At 50.7% G+C, this 20,179-nt stretch overlaps 1 long non-coding RNA gene across 1 annotated transcript in view, besides 7 other annotated features; it reads left to right on the forward strand.

The window, feature by feature from the left end:
• The first annotated feature begins 4,259 nt into the window (after positions 1-4,259).
• The window catches only part of LINC02520 (long intergenic non-protein coding RNA 2520), a 28,933-nt gene continuing 13,013 nt past the window's right edge, over positions 4,260-20,179 (forward strand). The window contains exon 1 of the long non-coding RNA NR_126057.1: positions 4,260-4,616. This is a non-coding gene — a long non-coding RNA (long intergenic non-protein coding RNA 2520). The remainder of the gene's footprint in view (positions 4,617-20,179) is intronic.
• Positions 9,761-10,362: an enhancer, noted in NCBI's record as "H3K4me1 hESC enhancer chr6:37480625-37481226 (GRCh37/hg19 assembly coordinates)". NCBI's record gives its function as "activates a minimal SCP1, AML or CMV promoter by ChIP-STARR-seq in naive H9 embryonic stem cells {active_cell/tissue: H9 hESC(naive)}" and the evidence as "EXISTENCE:reporter gene assay evidence [ECO:0000049][PMID:30033119]".
• Positions 10,363-10,964: an enhancer, noted in NCBI's record as "H3K4me1 hESC enhancer chr6:37481227-37481828 (GRCh37/hg19 assembly coordinates)". NCBI's record gives its function as "activates a minimal SCP1, AML or CMV promoter by ChIP-STARR-seq in naive H9 embryonic stem cells {active_cell/tissue: H9 hESC(naive)}" and the evidence as "EXISTENCE:reporter gene assay evidence [ECO:0000049][PMID:30033119]".
• Positions 12,235-13,019: an enhancer, noted in NCBI's record as "H3K4me1 hESC enhancer chr6:37483099-37483883 (GRCh37/hg19 assembly coordinates)". NCBI's record gives its function as "activates a minimal SCP1, AML or CMV promoter by ChIP-STARR-seq in primed H9 embryonic stem cells {active_cell/tissue: H9 hESC(primed)}" and the evidence as "EXISTENCE:reporter gene assay evidence [ECO:0000049][PMID:30033119]".
• Positions 13,020-13,804: an enhancer, noted in NCBI's record as "H3K4me1 hESC enhancer chr6:37483884-37484668 (GRCh37/hg19 assembly coordinates)". NCBI's record gives its function as "activates a minimal SCP1, AML or CMV promoter by ChIP-STARR-seq in primed H9 embryonic stem cells {active_cell/tissue: H9 hESC(primed)}" and the evidence as "EXISTENCE:reporter gene assay evidence [ECO:0000049][PMID:30033119]".
• Positions 13,677-13,726: an enhancer, noted in NCBI's record as "active region_24461". NCBI's record gives its function as "activates an Ori minimal core promoter by ATAC-STARR-seq in GM12878 lymphoblastoid cells {active_cell/tissue: GM12878}" and the evidence as "EXISTENCE:reporter gene assay evidence [ECO:0000049][PMID:35858748]".
• Positions 13,817-14,196: an enhancer, noted in NCBI's record as "active region_24462". NCBI's record gives its function as "activates an Ori minimal core promoter by ATAC-STARR-seq in GM12878 lymphoblastoid cells {active_cell/tissue: GM12878}" and the evidence as "EXISTENCE:reporter gene assay evidence [ECO:0000049][PMID:35858748]".
• Positions 16,471-16,642: a silencer, noted in NCBI's record as "fragment chr6:37487335-37487506 (GRCh37/hg19 assembly coordinates)". NCBI's record gives its function as "represses an EF-1alpha promoter that drives an FKBP-Casp9 reporter gene in an ReSE screen in HepG2 liver carcinoma cells {active_cell/tissue: HepG2}" and the evidence as "EXISTENCE:reporter gene assay evidence [ECO:0000049][PMID:32094911]".

Below are 20,179 nucleotides of genomic sequence, written 5' to 3' on the forward strand. Positions count from 1 at the left end.
GCTGAGACCATCAATTACGGGTTTCCTTTGCCCCAGACATCGCAGACAATAGTGACCTGCGTGGTGTCAGGGAGGATGCAAGCACCCCAGGTACCCCACTGAGGTCCTTTCATCCCCCTGGCACATACAGAGACCCAGCCTGGATTCCCATGGAGGCTGTTTGCTGAGCCTTAGAGCAGCTTGACTTGCCTCCATGTTGGAAATTCTGCCCATGAGCAGATGGATTACTGTGGGCCAGCTGTCTGTCTGTCTGTCTTTATTACCCCAGGGAGCTGTGGTTCTGAACCTCCTATTGGGGGTTTTAGAACTAAGTGTTTCAGGAAAGTCGAATGCTGCATTGACAGACAGGAGAACTGGAGTCGTTCCTGGCTAGCCCAAGTTCTCACTGCATGACCTTGGGCAGGTCAAGCCTCCTCTTTGGCTCTTAATTTTGTCTGCTCAATGGGTACAGTGGGGAGAACGAGACAGTCACCCTAGGTTCCTGTTTTTCATGACCTTGTTATTTGTAAGACATAACGAGGAAGACATAAAGCTTCCTTGTTAGCTGTAAGGGAGACATATAAAGTAAGAACTAACGATTACCTCAAGATCTCTTTAATCTAGTTAGAGAGACAGACTGACAACATGAAATAGTGCATGCCAGACATCATATAATTAAATGCCAGCTGTCTGGTACTCACTGTTGATGCATTAGGAGTGCAGAAACAAGAGAATGGGGTGGGTATTTGGGGATGGCTTTGTGGAGGCTCTGGGTCCAGGAGGACAGATGAGATTGCGTCAGGCAAAGATGCAGGAGAGGGCATCCCAAGTGGGAACCCACAGGGCTTCCTGTGCCAAGGAGGGGCGCCCTTTCCAACTTTGCATGAAAGCAATTTATACGCTAGCCACATCCCTGACTTATTTGTCCTAGAGACCCTGGGAGACCATTTCCTCTATCCCATGCCTCCTTCTGGGTTTGCCTCAGCTGTGGGGCCCAGTGTTGGGTCCCCATCGCTGCCCAAAGGGAAGCTTTTCAGAGCAAGAATGAGGGAGAGTGGCATTGCTCACTGTCAGAAGCATTTCAGGCAGGAAATGAAGAATTTTTTAGGTGGCTAAAAATACTGTGAAAGCTGATTTATGTTTGCATTTTGTTCCAGGACAGCAGATTATAGCCCAAGTTCTGAGGCAAAGGCAGCAGCGCCTTTATGGCCTGCTTGGAACAGTTTTATGTCTTAGTGAGTTTTATACATTTCAGCTAAGCCAAGATGCTAGAACTTTTTTGTCCATATATTTCACTGGGGAAAACTCACATACCACTCCTTGCACCCAACCTCATGTTACCATGCAAAAAGAAAGAAAAGGAAGGAAGGAAGGGGAAAAGAATGTGCTTGCTATTTAGTTGGTATCCAGTTTTTAGTTAACGTAAATCAAATTGTAGACAGTGAATCCACATGAAACTGAATTAGACAGCCAGTGACATGAAAACCAAAGGATCTCTATATATTGTTGAATATGCAGACCACTCCACCCTGCAGCATCTTTTTTTTTTTTTTTTTTTTTTCTGTCTCACTCTGTCACCCAGGCTGGAGTGCATTGGTGCAATCTCAGCTTACTGCAACCTCCGCCTCCTGGGTTCCAGTGATTCTCCTGCTTCAGCCTCTCGAGTAGCTGGGATTACAGGCACCCACCACCACGCCTGGCTAATTTTTGTATTTTTAGTAGAGACGGGGTTTCACCATGTTGGCCAGGCCGGTCTCGAACTCCAGACCTCAGATGATCTGCCTGCCTCGGTCTCCCAAAGTACTGGGATTACAGGCATGAACCATCGAGTCTGGCCCACCCTGCGGTATCCTCTTGATGAGAAGAAATTTCTACCAGACATTGGTGCTGAGCTAAGCTCTGTGGCCTTTCCTGGCATGCTGATATTCTCTTATCCTATGACTACTGTATCTTTTGTAACTGATCATGTTTCCCACTTTGTTCATGAGAAAGCTCAGAACCAAACTTGTTCAGGGACTTTGAGCATAAGTTTCCAGGTACAAGAATTTTCCCTGGCTTTATTTGATTTTTCTACCCGTGTTTTCCCTCCGCTCTATCCCCTTACTATTTTTATCCCACTATATTGTGTGCATTTTGCTAAGCTACCTCAAATCCTTTTTTGAAACACAAAGGAGCATAAATAAATCAATAAATAGATCCTGTGTTTGTAAATATGGCACTTTGTTCTTTCTACAGCAGTGTTTGTATCCATTAACTCTGTGGGTCCTCACATACCTCTGTGAGGAAAGTAAGGCAGGCTCCATTGCCCCAATTTTCCAGACATGGAAAAGTTTGCAGAAGAGGATACTCACCCCCTCCCTCTGTATAAAAGACCATATGAGCCTTTCTGAAGAAAACGAGAGTAAGAAACTAACAGCCTATTAGGTGACTTCTTAGTAGATATAGATTGAGGAAGGAGAAAACCAAGGTTGCTCTTGCCAGTTGGAAAGGATACAAATTGAGGTGACCCAGGCTTCAGAGAGTCCCCCAGAGTTCACGTCGGTGTTGCCATCTCCCCCAACCACCCCACCTTCTTATAACAGATCCACTCCCACTGTTCACATGGGTGGCATATGATCTAAGCGGGGCAGCCAGTCATAGAACCACATGTCCCTAGCCATAGTGATTAGTTCAGAAGGGAGGACTCATGATCTGAGCTAGGCCAATAAGAATCCTTTCCTGAGATTTGTTTCACCTGTAGCTGGGAAAGGAAATCCCACCTTAGCTTTGGTTGCAGAGCAGCTGACGTGTGATCCTGGAACTGCTGGCAACAGTGTTCTCTTCCTGAGAAGAAGCTCATGGAGTATGAAAGAGGGCAGGCAGCCAGCACAGGGCAGCAGCAATGAGAGACAATGAGGAAGACTGCCCTGGGGGTGCTTGTTTGAAACTTGAATTCCAGGTGCCCTAGCCTCACTTTTGCCCCTCGGAGAGTGGAGGCCAACAAATTCCCTCTTTTGAGTGAGCTAATTTGATCTGAGTTACTTCATTTACAGCCCACAGATTTTTTGATTCATGTAGTTTTTAGACTGAAGGAATAAACCCAGAAGTTTGCTTCTCTGGTGTCCAAGTTTTGGTTTCCCACCTCTGTGGGTCTCAATGTTCAGCTTATCCGAGAGGTCTTAGGCCCTGGGAAGTAATAATAATAATGTGTCTATCTACAACTGGACCACAAACAAAAGTACTAGAACCTAGTTCAGAGCGTGGATCTGACTCTGCTCTTCATCAACTGTGTGACCTTGGGCAAGTTATTTAACCTCTGAGCCTCAGTTTCTTCATCTGTGAAACAGAGATCATAGTAGCAGCTACTTCATAAGGCTCTTGTGAGGATTATACATAATAACCCTTTTCAGCATATGACGCTATGCCTGGCATCTAGTTAGCACACCACAAATATAGTTCAATTATTATGGATAATTTTATACACAATATCCCTCAAACAGTTCTATGAATAAGGCAGAACACAGATTCTCATATCTGTCTGGGCAGCGAAGACTGTGATGCTTAGAGGGCCGTGACCCACTAGGTCACGTAATAAGTGGAAGAGTCTGGATTCTGGACACCAGAATCAAATCCGGAGTCCCCCCACTTTGGACTTTGCTTCTCAAATGGCATTGTGTTGGCAACTGTCAGAAGGCCAATTTAATAGCTTATAAAGGGCACTGTCCCTCCAGGGACAGTGTTTATTAGAGAAGTCAGATTCTGGCCAGAATGCTGCTTGGTGGGGACAGAAGATTGGCTCTGGAAAGATGTCCAGAGAAAAGACTGCTTAAGCTGAAGTCCCCAGGCACCCCTGGCCAGTGTCAGCACACCCTCCTTCTCCCCGTCTTCTCCCTCGCTGCCAGCTCCTTGTACCCGCACACTTTACATATGAGAATTCTAAAAGACAGACGGTCAGAACCAGAAGCTAATATAGGGATCACTGTAGTCCACTCAGCCTTTATTAAACAGGCATAGTAGATGTAATGATGAGCCAGACACAGATCAAATCTCTCATTTACAGATGAGAACTGCGAGTCTGGGAAGGAAGGTATCTTCCCTAAGGTCTACTGTGAATTAGTAACTGCGTTAGGCACCTTCTAGAGAATATCTGCCTAGCTCACAATAGGCCCCCTTTCCTGAGGTTTGTGTGATCCCACCTACCCAGTCACAGCTGATTCGATCAGAGGAACACACCTGACCAAAGCTGGGCCAATCAGATTTTAACTCCCAGGAATCTGACCCTAGGATGAGATGCTGATCATAGTTAGCCCAGGGAGGAAGGGGACAGAATGACAGCATGGTTATATCAATGGTCCAATTCTTGGTTCCAACCCTTGATTGTCCTTCGAGAGCACCACCCATTCCTTACAACACATCTCTCCGCTTCATTTTGGGAGTTTTGAAGTTATTAAAGTTATTGATTTCTTTTCCTTACAACCAAAATAATCTAAATTAAGATTGTGGCCAAGTTTGGATTAAAACCTGCCTCCCGGCTCCAAGACCCATGTTTTTCTATCATGCTGACTGGCAGCAAAGACGTCTTCCCATGGATTTTTCAGAACTCTGTTCTTTAAATGTGACCTTAGATGCACCAGACTCATGCCATCCAAAGGTTGGAGGTAGGTGGTGGTGGGGGGTGGGGGTAGATGGTGATGGGGATGGGGGTAGGTGGTGGTGGGGTGGGGGTAGGTGGTGGTGGGGGTGGGGGTAGGGGTAGGTGGTGGGGGGTGGGGGTAGGGGTGTGGGTAGGTGGTGTTGGGGGTTGGGGGTAGGTGGTGGTGGTGGGGGTAGGTGGTGGTGGGTGAGGGTAGGTGGTGGTGGTGGGGGTAGGTGGTGGTGGTGGGTGGGGGTCGGGGTAGGTGGTGCTGGGGCTGGGGGTAGGTGGTGGTGGGGGTGGGGGTAGTTCTGGCAGGTGTCAAGTTCTTTGTTCTCTAACGCAATTACCTTGGGGTGGGGGATGGTGGCTACAGTGAGGCCTTCACCAGCTGCGCACCCAGGGCAGGTTGCTTTTCTCAGTTTCCTCCTCTGATATTTATCTTGTATGTGTAAAGTGCTTAGAGCAGTGTGCAGCAATGCAAGCTATTTATTATGTGAGTAACCTGCTTTTTAAAGATGGCATTTGCCCACAAAACCTTCTTAGACCCTTAGTGTTTAGCTTTCACTCACATCTCTCTAGCTACTGTAATTGCAGCCTGGAATGATTACATTTTCAGCAAAAAACAAGTCACATTCAAAGCCCAAGTGTGATAACCACATGAAAAGCAATCAGTCTCTGTCCTTTGACACACCTTGATATGAAGGCTGTACCTGTGATAAGGTAGTTGTCTCAGCGTATACATTCCCTAGGACAGGAGCTGACCAGCTTGATTGAAGTTTCTCATGAAACTTTCATTCAACAATTATTTGCTAAGTGCCTGGGCTGGGGGACAGGGGCTGTCTGTATGGTGACAGATTAACAGATAAATACAATACCAGGACTGTGAGAGAGGCAAGTGTAAGGAGCTATGGATGCAATGAGTATATGGACCCAGTTCAGATGGGGGCATTAGGGAAGGAGGCCCAGAGGAAGAGAAAGATGAGTAAGAGTTAGATGGGCAATGGAATTTTACACCCACAGATCAGCAGACACCTGACAAAACCAAGTGGGTACAAAAGTCTGGAAAGCAAATCAGCATTAACTAGCAAAGTTGAAGATGCATTTGTGCACCAGTTGAGGTATATGAGCGTGAACTTTGTTGCAACAGCGAAGAATCAAAAACGTAAATGTCCATTGTATTCATTAGCTGCTGCTGCAATAAAGCTGTGTAACAAACAATCCTAAGAATATCATTGGCTTATAATGACAAACATTTATTTCTTGCACACAGGAGTGCAGGTGAGCTGGGGTGAACTCACGTTCACATTGGCTACAAGTAGCTCTCATTTGGGGACTCAGGCTGAAGAGACAACAGCTTACTGGGAACATGCTCTTCTATGGCAAATGGCAGGACCGCAAGATGCCAAACTAAACCATAAAAGCACATTAAAAACCTCCATTTGTGGCCAGGCGCAGTGGCTCACGCCTGTAATCCCAGCACTTTGGGAGGCTGAAGCAGGCAGATTACGAGGTCAGGAGTTCAAGACCAGCCTGGACAACACCGTGAAACCCCTTCTCTACTAAAAATACAAAAATTAGCCAGGTGTGGTGGCACACCTCTGTAGTCCCAGCTACCCAGGAGTCTGAGGCAGGAGAATTGCTTAAACCCGGGAGGCGGAGGTTGCAGTGAGCCGAGTGAGACTCCGTCTCAAAACAACAAGAACAACAAAAAAACTCTCCTTTTGCATCACATTCTTTAGCATTTGCCCGGTTAAATTCCATTAGGCCAAACCCCAAGTCAATGGGATGGGGATATATTCTCCATCTACTCTGTACATCAAAGGGTTTGAGTGTATAGTCCTATATAGTCCTGGAGTAAAGAATTGGGAGTGATAATTCAACCAAACCATGAATAGAAGAATGGATCAATAAACTGTGGTGTAGTCATACAATGAAATATTACACAGCAATGAAAACAAATGGCCTAGATCGGCAAACTATGGCCCATGGACCAAATCCAGCTTGCTGCCTGTTTTTGTAAACGAGGTTGTTTTGGAATGTGGCCACATTCATTCATTTACATATTGTCTGTATCTGCTTTCGCACTGTAATGGCAGAGTTGAGCAGCTGCAACAGACTGTTGGGCCCACAAAGCTTAAAATATGAAAAATCTGTCCCTTTCCAGAAAACTTTACCGAGCTCTGATCTAGATCTACGCATATCAACATGGATAAATCTCACAAACATAATGTTACACGAAAAGACAAGTTGCAGAGGAATGTAAACCAGAGGATCCCATTCACTTAAAGTTCAAAAACATTCAAAATATTCAAAACGGTGCTACATACTGCTTGTCTTAGTCCCTTTGTGCTGCGATAACAGAATACCACAGACTGGGGAATTTAAGAAAAGAAATGTATTGGCTTGCAGTTCTGGAGGCTGGGAAATCCAATATGAAGATGCCAGCAGATTTGGTAGTTCTGATTTCAAGATGGCGCCTTGAATGCTGTGACCTCCAGAGGCGAGGAAGGCTTAGTCTTTGCATGGTGAAAAGCGGAATGGCAAAAGAGAGCCAGAGGGGGTTGAATCTGCCCTTTTATAATGGCATGAACCCACACATGAGGGTGGAGCCCTCATGGCCCAATCACCCCTTAAAGACCCCACCTCTTAATATTGTTACAATGTTAATTAATTTTTCAACATGAGTTTTGGAGGAGACAAATATTCAAACCACAGCACGGCTAACTTTCAAACCTGTGCTGTACTAATGGTAAATATAAAAAGCAAGGTAGTGACGGCCCCAGTTACTGGAGAGACAGATGTGCCTGGGGGAGGTGCCCAGGGGGGCTCTGTTGCATGGGTAATGTTTTCTTTCTTAAGCTGGGTGGAGATGGTAGTGCATGGAAATTAATTTTATTGTTATTTATACCTTTTATGTCGGTCCTAAATATTTATAATATTAATAGAAAAAAAAGTTAGAAGAGGTAGGAGAACACAGAGGTAGGGGAAGGGTGTTCCAGGCCCAGGCTCCAGGTTGCAAGGGTGGAGGCATGAGAAAGACGAGGCATGGTGTGCACAGGGAGGAGGGAATGGAGAGAGGAGACTGGGAGGACAGCTGGGTCTTTGGGCCATTCTAAGGAGTCTGATTTCATACCTTGGCCAAGGGAACCCCTTGGGCAGCTCTGCGCTTTTGCACCATCGTGATCAGATTTGCGTTTGAGAACAGTCAGCCTTGTTGCAATAGGGAGGGTGGTGGGGAGCAGGGCTGCAACACGACCCTAGAGGGAACACCTCCTTAACATTTGTCCCTGAGGTGCCTCACTCTCTCACCCTACTCCTGGCCCTGGCATGCCCTCCCTCCTGAAGCCTACATGGCTCCCTCCATCCCCTCCTTCCAGTCTTCACTCAAAAGTTGCCTTCTCCACGAGGCCCTCCCTGGCTACTGTCTTTAAATTGAATCCCCTCTGAATTTCCCTTATTCCCCTTGCTTTTTCTCGATAGCATTTCCTGTATATTTTGCTTATTTGTTTTGCTTATTGTCTTCCTCTACTAGAATGTAGCTCCTTCTCCTCACTGATGGATCCCCAGGGCCTAGCGTAGTGAAGGATAATAGGAAATGTTCACTAAATATTTGCTGAATGAATGAATTTATAGGAACTCCAGAACTGACAGGAAGGTGTCACTTTCTGTTGCTGATCTCAGCCGCCTGGAGGATGAAAGCAGCTGTCTGGCCTGATTCAGGGATGGGGCTTGGCTCAGAGGAGGCAAAAGAAAGTCACAAGATGGGCGAGGGCTTTGAGAGGCTCCTCTGGGGTGAGGTCTCCATGTCTTTGGTTATCAACACACATGGTGTGGTGTGGAAGAGCATGGACCCCAGGACTTATATCCAGCCCTTCCCGGCCAGCTCTCGCTGGTGGAGAGAGGGCTGCCTCCTGCCCACCTCCCTCCTCTGCCATGTTCCTGCTCCCAGCACCTGCCTTTACCTGGGCGACTCCTGTCATGGAATTCTGACCTCTCCAGTCCTGCTTAGCTAAACTCCCTCCCTCGTCCGACCAATTTCCCCCTTTTTGGGATTCCTATACACTGAAACCTGTACTGTTCCACTCAGCCCAACGATGAATGCAGCCTCATAGAGTTCTCACATTGTTTTGTGTGTGTGTTTTGTCTGCAGCCCCACTTCCGGCCTACAAGAGCAGACCCCCATCTCCTCCTGTGTGCCAAGAAGCCCACAGGGCGAGGGCCCCCACTGATGCTCAGTAAACCCTCATGGGGAGAGGGAAATGTGCTGTCATTTCCATGAGACATGTGCAGCGACTAGCGTTTCTTTTGGGCTTCCCACCAAGTGGCACTTGCCTACCCCCCCAATCCCCGCGTTTCTTCTGATGGGAAACACACGCTTTCACCTGTGCTGTCACATTCCACCCTCCAAGAACCCTGGCAAGTGGGTGCTTTATTGCCGCTTTCCAGATGAGCACACTGCCTCCCCGAGAAAGGCAGGAGCCTGCCTAGAGCTGCACAGTCAGTCGGAGGCACAGCGGGTCAGAGCCGGCGCTGAGTTCCTCGGGGCTGAGGGAGAGAGACCTCCCTCGTACCCTTCTCTGCTAGCTGCGTCTTCCCAGCTAGTTCAGAGCCTTCAACAGCAGAAGCCTCTGCTCCGGAGGGGAAGTCAGAGCCTGAGCTGAGCTGTGTGTATGGCAGTGAACAAAGGCTCAGGGGGCTCTTCCTAAATGTCTCGCTGGAGGCATCGGTGTTTGTTATCAGTGGCCTCCTGTCTCCCTGCCTCCTCTCTTTGAGCTGAGTAAGGAATCAGAGAGCTCTCCTTCCACCTCCTGCCTGCATCCCCTCCACGAGGTCACCTGCTCAGGCCTGGCTTTAGCCAGAACACTGCTCGTCTGCTTTACACGGCTCTGCCTGCGGGGAAAGTTCAGACTTCTTCATCTGACATTCCAAGCACACCTTGATCCTCCGAAGCTCACTCCTCCAGCCTCCTCCCGCCTTTCCTCACTGCTCAGTCCCTCTGCTCTCATTCCTGTAGGGAAGTTGTGTGGAGGTGGGATGTGGTTATCCGTGAGCACCTGAGCAGCCCTGTGGGTAGGGGCCAGGCCTTTGTGGCACAGAGGTCATTTGCAGTGCATCCAGGAAAACTTCCCTTTGTCCCGTCCGACGTGTACTCCCCTTTCCACACCTGGCTCCCCCTCCTTCTTGGCCTGGAATGCTGACTTCTCTGCATCCAAGGGCTCCCTTGTCCTCTGGCTTGCAGCTGGGTTTGGAGGAAGGGAGGAGACTGAGGACAGGGAATTTATTACCCCAGCTCCCTCCCCGCAAGGTCACCACAGGGTGGCTGTGTCCCTCTGACCCTGCTTGCAGCTGCTCTCATGCAGCTACTCTCAGAGGGGGCTCCCCACTCTTGCTAGCCCTAAGGTTCTGAGGCTCCCCATGTTGGTTTCCTTAAACCCTGCCTCCATCTTTGTAGAGACCCTTTATTCAAGTCTCCTCACGTTACTCAGGGTGAGGCTGCCATCACGGTGCTACCAGCACCCTGCATGAATCCAGTGCTGGCCCCTTGAGGAAGAGCCGAATCCCCAGACAGGAAACAGGGACTGAGACAGCAGGCTCTGTGGGTAGGAGGGCACTGCCGCCACTTCCTGGGCATCCTTCTCCTGGAATGGAGGCACCCCTTGGCGAGGTACAGGCAGGAGCTCAGTAAACTCCGCTAACCATCTTGGTGCTTGCTGCTTCCCAGCATGGAACTGAGCGCAAACGCTGAAGGCGGCTCCTTCCACTTCTCCCTTGGGAAGGGGAAGCCCCCTGAACCACCAATGGGGACCATCCAGTGCACTAACAGTCATCTCCAAATACTTGGATCACACACCCCAGTGGGTAGAATATTTTTGAGGATGTGCTGCGTATCAGGTCAGGGTCTCAGCAGGAGACAGATGCCACTTTTAAATTAGGGTAATACGAGCAGATTTCTTCACAAAGGACTCTTTATAAAGGTGCGAGTGCAGGGGAGCCGGGAGGGACAGTGCAGTAAGCAGGGGCTGGCTGCCGCAGGGCTGTGACCACCACGAGGGGAGGGGGTGCTGAGCCAAATTTGGAAGGAGAGAGTCAACTTGTAAGCAGCTTCCAGGAAAGAGTTGCCTGCAGTGCCCTGCAGGGATGGAGCGGTGGAATCAATTCCCCAACTGCACTTTGCCAGTGTCCTCTGATCTCCCGAGCCTCCCCTTAGCCAAATCCTACCTGACACCTGCGGGCAGGGAGCCCGAGTGATGGGGACCACGCAGGGCAGCCTCAGAGCAGGGTGGAGGAGGTGAAGAACCAAGGGTAAGCAGGAGATACTCAGCGTGTATCCCTAGCAAATGTACACTTATTTATTAGTAAATTCTAAATGTGCAATTGTGCTAATATGTGCATTATAAAGTATACAGAAAAAGGGGCGTTGAAAAGCATGTGGTAAAATAGATAGAAGTGGAAGTTCTATTCCATTTCTTCTGCCCCCAATAGATTCTTTCATGCCCCGTGGGGGTGTATTTTTCCTGCTTTGAGGAACACCATGTTCAAAGGCCAGTGCCCTGAAGGAGCACTCTGGGGTGATGGGAACATTATCTTGATCTGCATGGTGATTATATGAGTGTATACACATGTAAAAGGTGCATGTGGCCGTGTCACACTGCACACCGATCTGGGACCAGTGGGTTCCCTTTTCTTCCATTGTTCATCCAGGAGGTGGGGCTGCCTGTAGCTCCAGGGCTACCTCCCTCACTGTCTTTTCTTCTCACTCCTCTTAGCCCATCCCTACAAGGCTGAAGTGGTCCAGCCCAGAGTGCCTGCCTCCCTGGGGAGGCCCAGCCACCTTGTTCGCTGAGAGTAATCATGAGTCACACGTATATAGCTCTTCGTATGTGCTGGGAGCAGCTCTAAGCACTGAATATGCATTCACTCATTTAATCCTCACAACAGCCTTGTGAACACTGGTATTGTCTTTACTTTCATTTTACAAACAAGGACACTGAAGCACAGAGAGGTCAAGTGACTCACCCAAAGCCACACAGCATGTAGAGGAGAGCCAGGACTTGCCCCAGGACCTGTGCTCCAATCCACATTGTGCAGCTTCTTGTCTTCCCCAGGGCCAGAAAGAAAGTTACACTCAGGGCCTGTTCCCTTGAAGCCGATCTCTTTTTTCTCTGTCATTTTCCCCAAATTCCAGTTCTTTTCCTCTCACATGGCAATTGGTGTGGGACTGAGTCCAGGCCAGGGCTATCTTGGCGGCACTGTGGTAATTAATGAGCAGTGCCCTAGGGCAGGCAGCCTGGGAGGCAGACTCAGGGCCTGGGGCTGCGCCTTTCTCCCGGCCAGCCTGGAGGCGGGAGAGGGAGAGGTTTCTGTTTGCCCAGACAACCCCCAGCAGGCTGGCTTCCTTCTCTCTCTCCCTCCCCACCACCTGCAATGAGTTGCTGCCCCAGCCCATGAGATGCACCATAGCCTTCCAGGCCCAGCAAAACCACACTCCGCCTTGTGAATCTGAGAGCCCGGATTCCCTCACTGCAACTCCGGGAAGGCAGGAACCATATCTGTCTTCCTCAGTGTCACCACCTGACACCTTCCTCAAAGGTGCTTTGGGACACAGCATATACCAATGACTGCTAGACTCTGTGGAGGAACGTTAGAATGTTCTCAAAGGTCTTGACAATGTTCTGTGGGCCTAGTGGGTCACCAGAGTTTCCCAGCAGGTGAGTTTCATGGCCAGAATTCTCCAAGCGTCCTGGGGTGTTTGGGGCTGGCTGGCATCTTCCCTTGCTTTTTTTTTTTTTTTTTTTTTTGAGATAGAGTCTCACTCTGTTGCCCAGGCTAGAGTGCCATGGCACGATCTCAGCTCACTGCAACCTCTGCCTCCCAGGTTCAAGCAATTCTCCTGCCTCAGCCTCCCGGGTAGCTGGGACTATAGTGCACACCACCAAGCCCGGCTAATTTTTGTATTTTTAGTAGAGACGGGGTTTTGCCTTGTTGACCAGACTGGTCTCGAACTCCTGGGCTCAAGTGTTCTGCCTGCCTTGGCCTCTCACAGTGCTGGGATTACAGGCGTGAGCCACCATGCCCGGCAGCATCCTCCCTTCTTTCTGCAGTGTTTGCTGAGAGCTCTAGCAGCCTGATGAGCCCCCTCCCTGTGGGCTGGAAAAGAAAGTGTGGACCCTGGCTCATCAGCAGCATGAGATATGGGATGCAGCAGGGTGACGCTTGAGAGGCCTGCTTCCCCAGCTGCTGGGCACCATTCGTGCCCACCCGGTGGGGGAGAGCCTGCGGGTCATGGGCCTAGCGACAGCCTAGCATCAGAAGGCCCTGAGCAGACTGATCTCCGTCGCCTCACAAGACAGGTCACTTCCCTCCTGAGCTTCCAAGCCTTTACCTGAGCTGTTTTCTTGTCCCTTAAGTCTGTTGGTATTGAAGTCTGGGCGGCCTGACAGCCCTGGCAGGCAGCCCAGAGGCCAGCGCCCCAGGCAGACACTCTCTCTGCCTTATTTATGCAGCTTCGCGGCCGCTGCGATTGGGTGGCATTTGTGAGCACAAAAGAGAAGACTCGGGCATTCAGAAGGCCCTTTCAGCAAAGGGCGCCACAGGCCTGCTGGCTGGAAATTCTCCTGAGATCGGTTGGAGTCTATTTGCAGGCATGCAGGCATTTCTGTTTGCTTCCTGACCCTGGCCTCCTGGGCACTGGGGCGGGGAGGGGCAGGCCTCTGCATTCGGGGACAGGAAGGAGGGGGTTGGCACAGAGGTTTCTGCCAGAGCCTCCCTGCCTGGAGGACCTGGCCTTGTGGTCTTCCCCAGGCCCATGTGCCCTGCTTGCCTGCTCTCTCACCAACAGGGTGATGAGGTGGCATCCACTGGGGTCAGTCCTGTGCCACCTGGCCTCCCCCTCCCTGCCTCTGCAGCCCGCTGAGAAGTGAACAGAAGCTGCTGCAGTGTGGCTGGGAGTCAGCTAGGAAGGGCCAACCCCCTTAACTGGTGCCCCACGTGACTGAGGCTCCTTGGTCACATCATGATCTGTGGTACCCAGATCAAAGGTCCTGCCAGCAGTGCACCAAGCCCTCCTCTTGGCAGGAAGCAGCAGACTAGAGCAAGTGAGGGAGAGTCGAAGCTGGCGGGGGGGTTTTCCCAGACAACAGCCTGTCCCGTGCTGCTCCCTGCCAGCCCCAAATCAGGAGTCCCCCCACCCCCGCACCACCGTGTTTCTAGTCCTGAGAGTGATGGGCTGGGGGATGGAGCCTCTGAAAATTCCACGAAGGTATGGTGCCCGGTCCAGGCATGCCCTGTGGCCGTCTGTTGTTGATTTTTAAATCTGTTCACCCGGGAGTCCTAGTTCAGCTCAGCAGACAGCAGTATTTGCTTATTAATTTGTTTATTGATTTACTGGGCTGTACTTGGGGCTTCTCCCGGGAAGGACTCCAGACGCGCTGTGCCGCCCAGCATCCAGCCATCCGTCAGACTCAGGTTTGAGCTTAAGATGCCACAAGGCCTGCAGCGGGCAGACCTAGAGACAGTGCAAAACTCCCGGAGGATGGACTGGGCCATGGGGCACTGGAGAGACTGAGGGCAGTCGGGGAGGAGGGAGGCTGCCTGCAGCAGCTGCAGGACACAGGCACGCGGTACCGTGTGGGAATGGCGCCCCTGGAGTTGTGCAACTGGGCACTCCTGGTTTGGGCCTCTCCCTATAGAGCAAGGGTAACAGATGTCTTCTCAGGAGAGGCCCTTCTCTGTCTCAGATCGTATTTAAGAGGCCTCCTTCCAGAGGCAGGGGATGGAGGAGAAAACCAGTCCAAGGTCTTCGGTGCCCCAGAGGCTCAGATTCATGTCTTCGGATGGGTTTTCCAACGTGCCAGGATTAAGTAAGGCGAGGGGTGTTTCTAGCAACAATTCTCTCAGCTCTTGCATAATAATGCTACATTTTTTTTAAAAACCTCTGAGGACACGTCTGTGGCTTTGTCGCCTTTCTGAGGCATATGCTGACTACAGATTGTGGCAGCAGGATGGAGGGGAGGGGAGGAGAAGCGAGAGGAGGCCGCAGTGTCAGAACAGAATTCTGTCACGGATGTAGAAAGAGCCTTGCCTGAGGACTTGTAAGAGCGAGGTGGCTATGAATGTGGACTTGGCATGAGGCAGACCTGGCGTGAATCCTGGCTCCCTCATTTATGAGCTGGGCAATCTCAGGCAAGTTACTTACCCTTTCTGTGCTTCATCTCATCCATAAAGTGAGAGTCAGCTTGTCAGCCTCATAGGACTGATGTGAGGGTTATAGACGAGACAATGTAAGAAACACATTAGTATATAATTAGTTGCTACCTCCTTATCACACATGTAAGATGGGTGATGTGATGCTTCCTGACGGAACTCTCATCCCTGAAATGAAAAGAGGGCCATGTCTGAGTAAACCCAAGGCTTCCCTTTTCAGATCCGCCTTTCTCTTTGGCTGCTCTGGACTTCCCTGGGCCTCCCTGGTGCTGTTATGTTTCCCTTTCCCTCCATGTCCAATATTAAAACCTCCTGATAGGTCTACAAGCCAGCATGGATGAACAGGAGGCCTTGGAGGATGCTGGGTGTGGACATGGGTGCTCAGGTCAGGAGAGGGAAGGGGCGGTGGGTGCCCTCAAACCCCGCTGCCTTGTGAGAGTGGAGCATGCAGGCTGAGGAGTCCCACTGCCCAGGCTCCACTCCTAGCCCTGCTGGGCACTGCCGTGCATCCTTGAGCAAGCAGCCTAATCTCCCTGTGCCTGGTTTCTGTATCTGTGTAAGGAGGCTATGATAGTACTGCACTTAGCTCGGAGGGTCGTGAGGGTAAGCCAGCTAATGCGTGTTACACACTTAAAATATGAAGCACCCAGTATAGTTCCAAGTCCTCCCCAACATCTGCCATCATTCCTACCCCCTCCCTGAGCACACCACACTCTAGCCATGTCCAGTCGTGGCCTCTTTGCCTTTGCACTTGCTGTTCCTTACCCAGGAACGTTCTTCCTCCCAACCTGTCTAAGTCTTTCTCATCATTCAGAGCTTTGTTCCACTCACTTTGGAAAAATCTTTCTCAGTCCCTTGGGATAAAATTTACCCCCCCCCCCCCCGCCGAACTCCCCAACTCTCTGCATGTATCTATCTCAGTTATAGCACTGTCTTCCCTTTCCCTCCACCTCCCACCAAAGGCCTCCCCATTCTTCGGGACTTGATGTAGATATCACTCCCTCCAGGAAGTCTTCCTAGATCCCCTCCCACTGTTCCCTCCCCTGCGTTTCCTCCCACAATACTCTGTGTCTACACATCCTCACCACACTCTGATGGATGGGTTGGTCTCTTTCTTTGTGTGCCTCCCCCAGCGGATTGTGAGCTTCTAGTGATGCGTCTGTATCAGTTAGCTTTAGCATGAGCTGTAGGTCATGAGTAGTACAACTCCAAATATTGGCTCATGCAATTTAGCAGTTTTATTCTTCTTTCGAAAGTCTGCAGTCTGGGGCTGGTTGGTGGCTTGGTTTGATATGGTCCTCTGAGGCCCAGACTCCTATTGTCTTGTTGTTCTGTGAGGGGTGACTTCCGTCTCCTCACAGTCCAATGTGGCTGCTTTAATTTCAGCCATTTCATCTACTTTTCAGTCACCTGGGGGAAGAGTGAGTGCCAGCCATCCCTTAAGGAGTTTCAGAAGCTAGCACTTGACACTTCGCACTGTATTGGTCTGAATTTAGTGAAAGGGCTATGTCTAGCTGCAAGAGAGGCTGAGAAATCTAGTCTTTATTCTGTATGGCTATGTGCCTGGCCAAGAATTCCAGGAATAGGGAAGAAGGGGAGAGTGGAATGGGGGCAACCAGTAGTCTCTGCCATAGGGCCCTTGCCGCATTCATCCCTATGTTGTGCCCAAGCCACCCCATAGCACATTACCTGGCACATAGTAAACACTCCATGTTTGCAGAAAGAAAGGCCTGTATTGACAGTTATAGCACATGCGTTTGCCTCCTTGACTGGAGTAGGTGTGTGGCGGCTGCTGATTGATCCATGTGTTCGCCTCCCCAGTTCACTCATTCAACAAATATTTGTGCTTCCTATGCACTGGATGTTGTTCTAGATACAGGGATGAAGCCATGAATAAAAGAGGTAGAAGTCTGTACCCTGGGGCTCACATTCCAGTGGCTTCTATAGTGATAGCAAGCACTGCTCGGCCAGGTGAGGTGGCTCACGCCTGTAATCCCAGCACTTTGGGAGGCTGAGGCAGGCAGATCACCGGAGGTCAGGAGTTCGAGACCAGGCTGGCCGACATGACGAAACCCTGTCTCTACTAAAAATACAAAAATTAGCTGGGCGTGGTGGTGGGCACCTGTAATCCCAGCTACTTGGGAGGCTGAGGCAGGAGAATTGCTTGATCCCGGGAGGTGGAGGTTGCAGTGAGTTGAGATCGTGCCATTGCACTCCAGCCTAGGCAACAGAGTGAGACTCGGTCTCAAAAAAAAAAAAAAAAAAAAGCAAGCACTCTTCGCAGTACTTTCTTTCTTCATTAAAAAAAACAAATTGAAACAGGATCTTTCTCTGTTCCCCAGGCTGGAGTGCAGTGGTGCAATCCCAACTCACTGCAACCTTAACCCTCAAGGCTCAAGCGATCCTCCTGCCTCAGCCTCTCGAGTAGCTGGGACCACAGGTGTGCACCACCACACCCGGCTAATTTTTTGATTTTTTTTTTTTTTTTGAGACGGAGTCTTGCTCTGTCGCCCAGGCTGGAGTGCAATGGCGTGATCTCAGCTCACTGCAACCTCTACCTCCCGGGTTCAAGCAATTCTTCTGCCTCAGCCTCCCAAGTATCTGGTACTACAGGCATGTGCCACCACACCCGGCTAATTTTTTGTATTTTTAGTAGAGATGGGGTTTCACCGTGTTAGCCAAGATGGTCTCGATCTTCCGATCTCGTGATCTGCCCGCCTCGGCCTCCCAAAGTGCTGGGATTACAGGCGTGAGCCACTGTGCCCAGCCAATTTTTTTATTTTTTGTAGACATGAAGGTCTCGCCCTCATCTCCACAGGTTGCCCAGGCTGGTCTCGAACTCCTGGGCTCAAGTGATGCTACCGCCTCGGCATCCCAAAGTGCTGGTGTGAACCTTACAGGTGTGAGCCACCGCGCCTGATCCAAATTGCTTCTGAGGACTAACTCGTGCAAGCTGGGTCCCCACATTAGTCACCTCTGTCTTACAGGCGAGGAAACTGAGGTACAGAAAGGTCAAATGACTCACTATGGTCGCACGGCTTATGTGAGGCAGAGCTGGGTTTGACCTGGGTGGTCTGCTGGAGAGCCCACCACTGCCTCTAGCACCCTTGCGCTCCAGTGCCCTCGCTGCACACCTTGCCCTGTGCCCTGCTTTCCTCAGTTAACAGAACCACAGATATTTCCCGTAGTTTCTGTCATCACCATCTGTGGTGGCTCCACAGGGAAGGGCGAAGCAGAGCAGCTGCAGTCTGCAGTAAATGGGGGGAAAGGAGGGGCTTGTGGTTTCCTTGTGGGGTCAATAAGGATTTGTGGGCACTTGCCTGGGTGGGGCCTTTGGTGAATGGAGCCGGGGCCCTCCTGGCCTGGCTATGTTCTCACTGCCCCTCTTTGATTCTCCCCCTGGGGCCTGCCTGCCTCCTCAGGCCCTCTCCGAAGTCCAAAGGGAGGCTGCAGGGCCTCGAGCCCTCCCCACCTCCCTTGTCTTGTCCTGTGACTGACTTCCAGACCTCAGAGATGTCTTTCCACCTCAGCCAGGGGAGGCGTGAGGGTCCCCCACCCACACCCCGTGGAACACATTTGTCTTCCCAAATCTTTTCCCAGCCCCAGGGAAAGGGAAAAAAAAGAGAAGGGGGAAGAAGAGAGCTCTGGGGGAAGGAAAGCTCACCAAAAATGAGATGCTGGGGCTCACGTCTCTGCTACTTCCTGACACCTCACCTTTCCCCAGTGGCCTGCTGTTGTCCTTCAGGGGAGTGGGGCTGCCCCGCACACCTGCTCCATTACTGGGAACGTTACATTGCACAGGGGAGGACGCTGGGGCTTGAGGAGGGCGGGTCCCTGGCTCCACTGGCTAGTCAGTGGAAGGGTAGAGATTAAAATTCTGCCCCTGGTGTGGTGGGTGGGGAAGGAGCAGAACACGGCTGCCTATTTTGCAGATGGGCACATTGAGGGCTAGACATTTAGTTAAGTGACCCTGCCCATAAACCACAGGTTGCACAATGAGTCAGGAATGGAACTTGTGTGTGGGGGACTCTCAGTCCACAGTGGGCCTTTCTGATTTCACCTCTGGCCCCACAAGTTTGGTTTCTGAGACCCCAAGGATCTTAAAGCACCTAAGGTAAACCTGTGGACTTCAGTAAGTGCTTGTGGCCAGGATGGTTCCTGGCAAGCATCGTGTGAAATGCTGTGGAGGACAAAAAAAGAAAGGGCTGGGTGCGGTGGCTCATGCCTGTAATCTCAGCACTTTGGGAGGCTGAGGCAGGTGGATCACAAGGTCAGGAGTTCGAGACTAGCCTGGCCAACATGGAGAAATCTTGTCTCTACTAAAAATACAAAAATTAGCCGGGCATGGTGGCGGGCACCTGTAATCCCAGCTAGTCGGGAGGCCGAGGCAGGAGAATTTCTTGAACCTGGGAGGAAGAGGTTGCAGTGAGCCGAGATTGCGCCACTGCACTCCAGCTTGGGTGACAGAGCAAGACTCTGTCTTGGAAAAAGAAAAAAGAAAAAAGAAAGTCAGATGTGATTCTCATTGATGGTGGTGATGGTGTGTTTCCAATCAGGTTGGTGAGATGAGTACTTGGAAATAGGAAACTCTTCGAACACTGACTATTTCAATATGTGGTAATGCCCCTGAGTGCCTTGAGAGCTGGGATGGATCAGAGCAGTTAAGAAAGCTTCCTGGAGGAGGAGGATTTGAGCTGGACCTTAAGAAGTGCTAGGAACTAAACTCATATCTGGAGGATGAAGATTGGGGGGAGCGTGGGAATGGCAGCTTGAGTCAAGGCACAGAGGTAGGTCTGAGGTGGTGTGTGCCAAGTACGATGCAGAGCTTGGCGTGATTGGGGTGGCCTTGCTGGAGAGGAGTGGGTAATGACTCTGGAGAGGAAATGAGGGGTCAGATGGTGGAGGAGTTTGGTAGAGCAGTAGAGGCATTTAGACTTAGTTCTGTAGTCCAGGGAAGACTGACATTCAGTGTGGGCGGCTGCAATCTCTGCTCCTTCATTCATGGCAGACATGGATCATTGATCACTGCACGCTCCCTGCTGAACCCACACAAGGCCTCAGAGATCTGTTCCACCCAGAGCTCCAGGCAGTCCCCACCTATGGTCTGCCGTTGAGAGGAAACATCATTGTTGTGGGTAATTGGGAGCCACTGCATGTTCTTGAGCAGGAGAATGGGTGTCAGAACAGGTTTTGTGTTCCTGGATCCTGGGTGAACTGCTTGTCTTGATCCCACCAACCTTGACTCAGTTGCATTGGGGGATGGGCCCTCTGAAGACCCCAGGGCAGTGGGGTCTCTGACTTCACCCTGTAAACTCACCTAGTCCAGACCTGTCCCCCTAGGGAGAGGGCCCAGCTTTCTCATCGCAGAAACCGGGCAGAGGC

Source organism: Homo sapiens, chromosome 6 (assembly GCF_000001405.40).
Source record: "Homo sapiens chromosome 6, GRCh38.p14 Primary Assembly".
NCBI classification, from domain to species: Eukaryota; Metazoa; Chordata; class Mammalia; order Primates; family Hominidae; genus Homo; species Homo sapiens.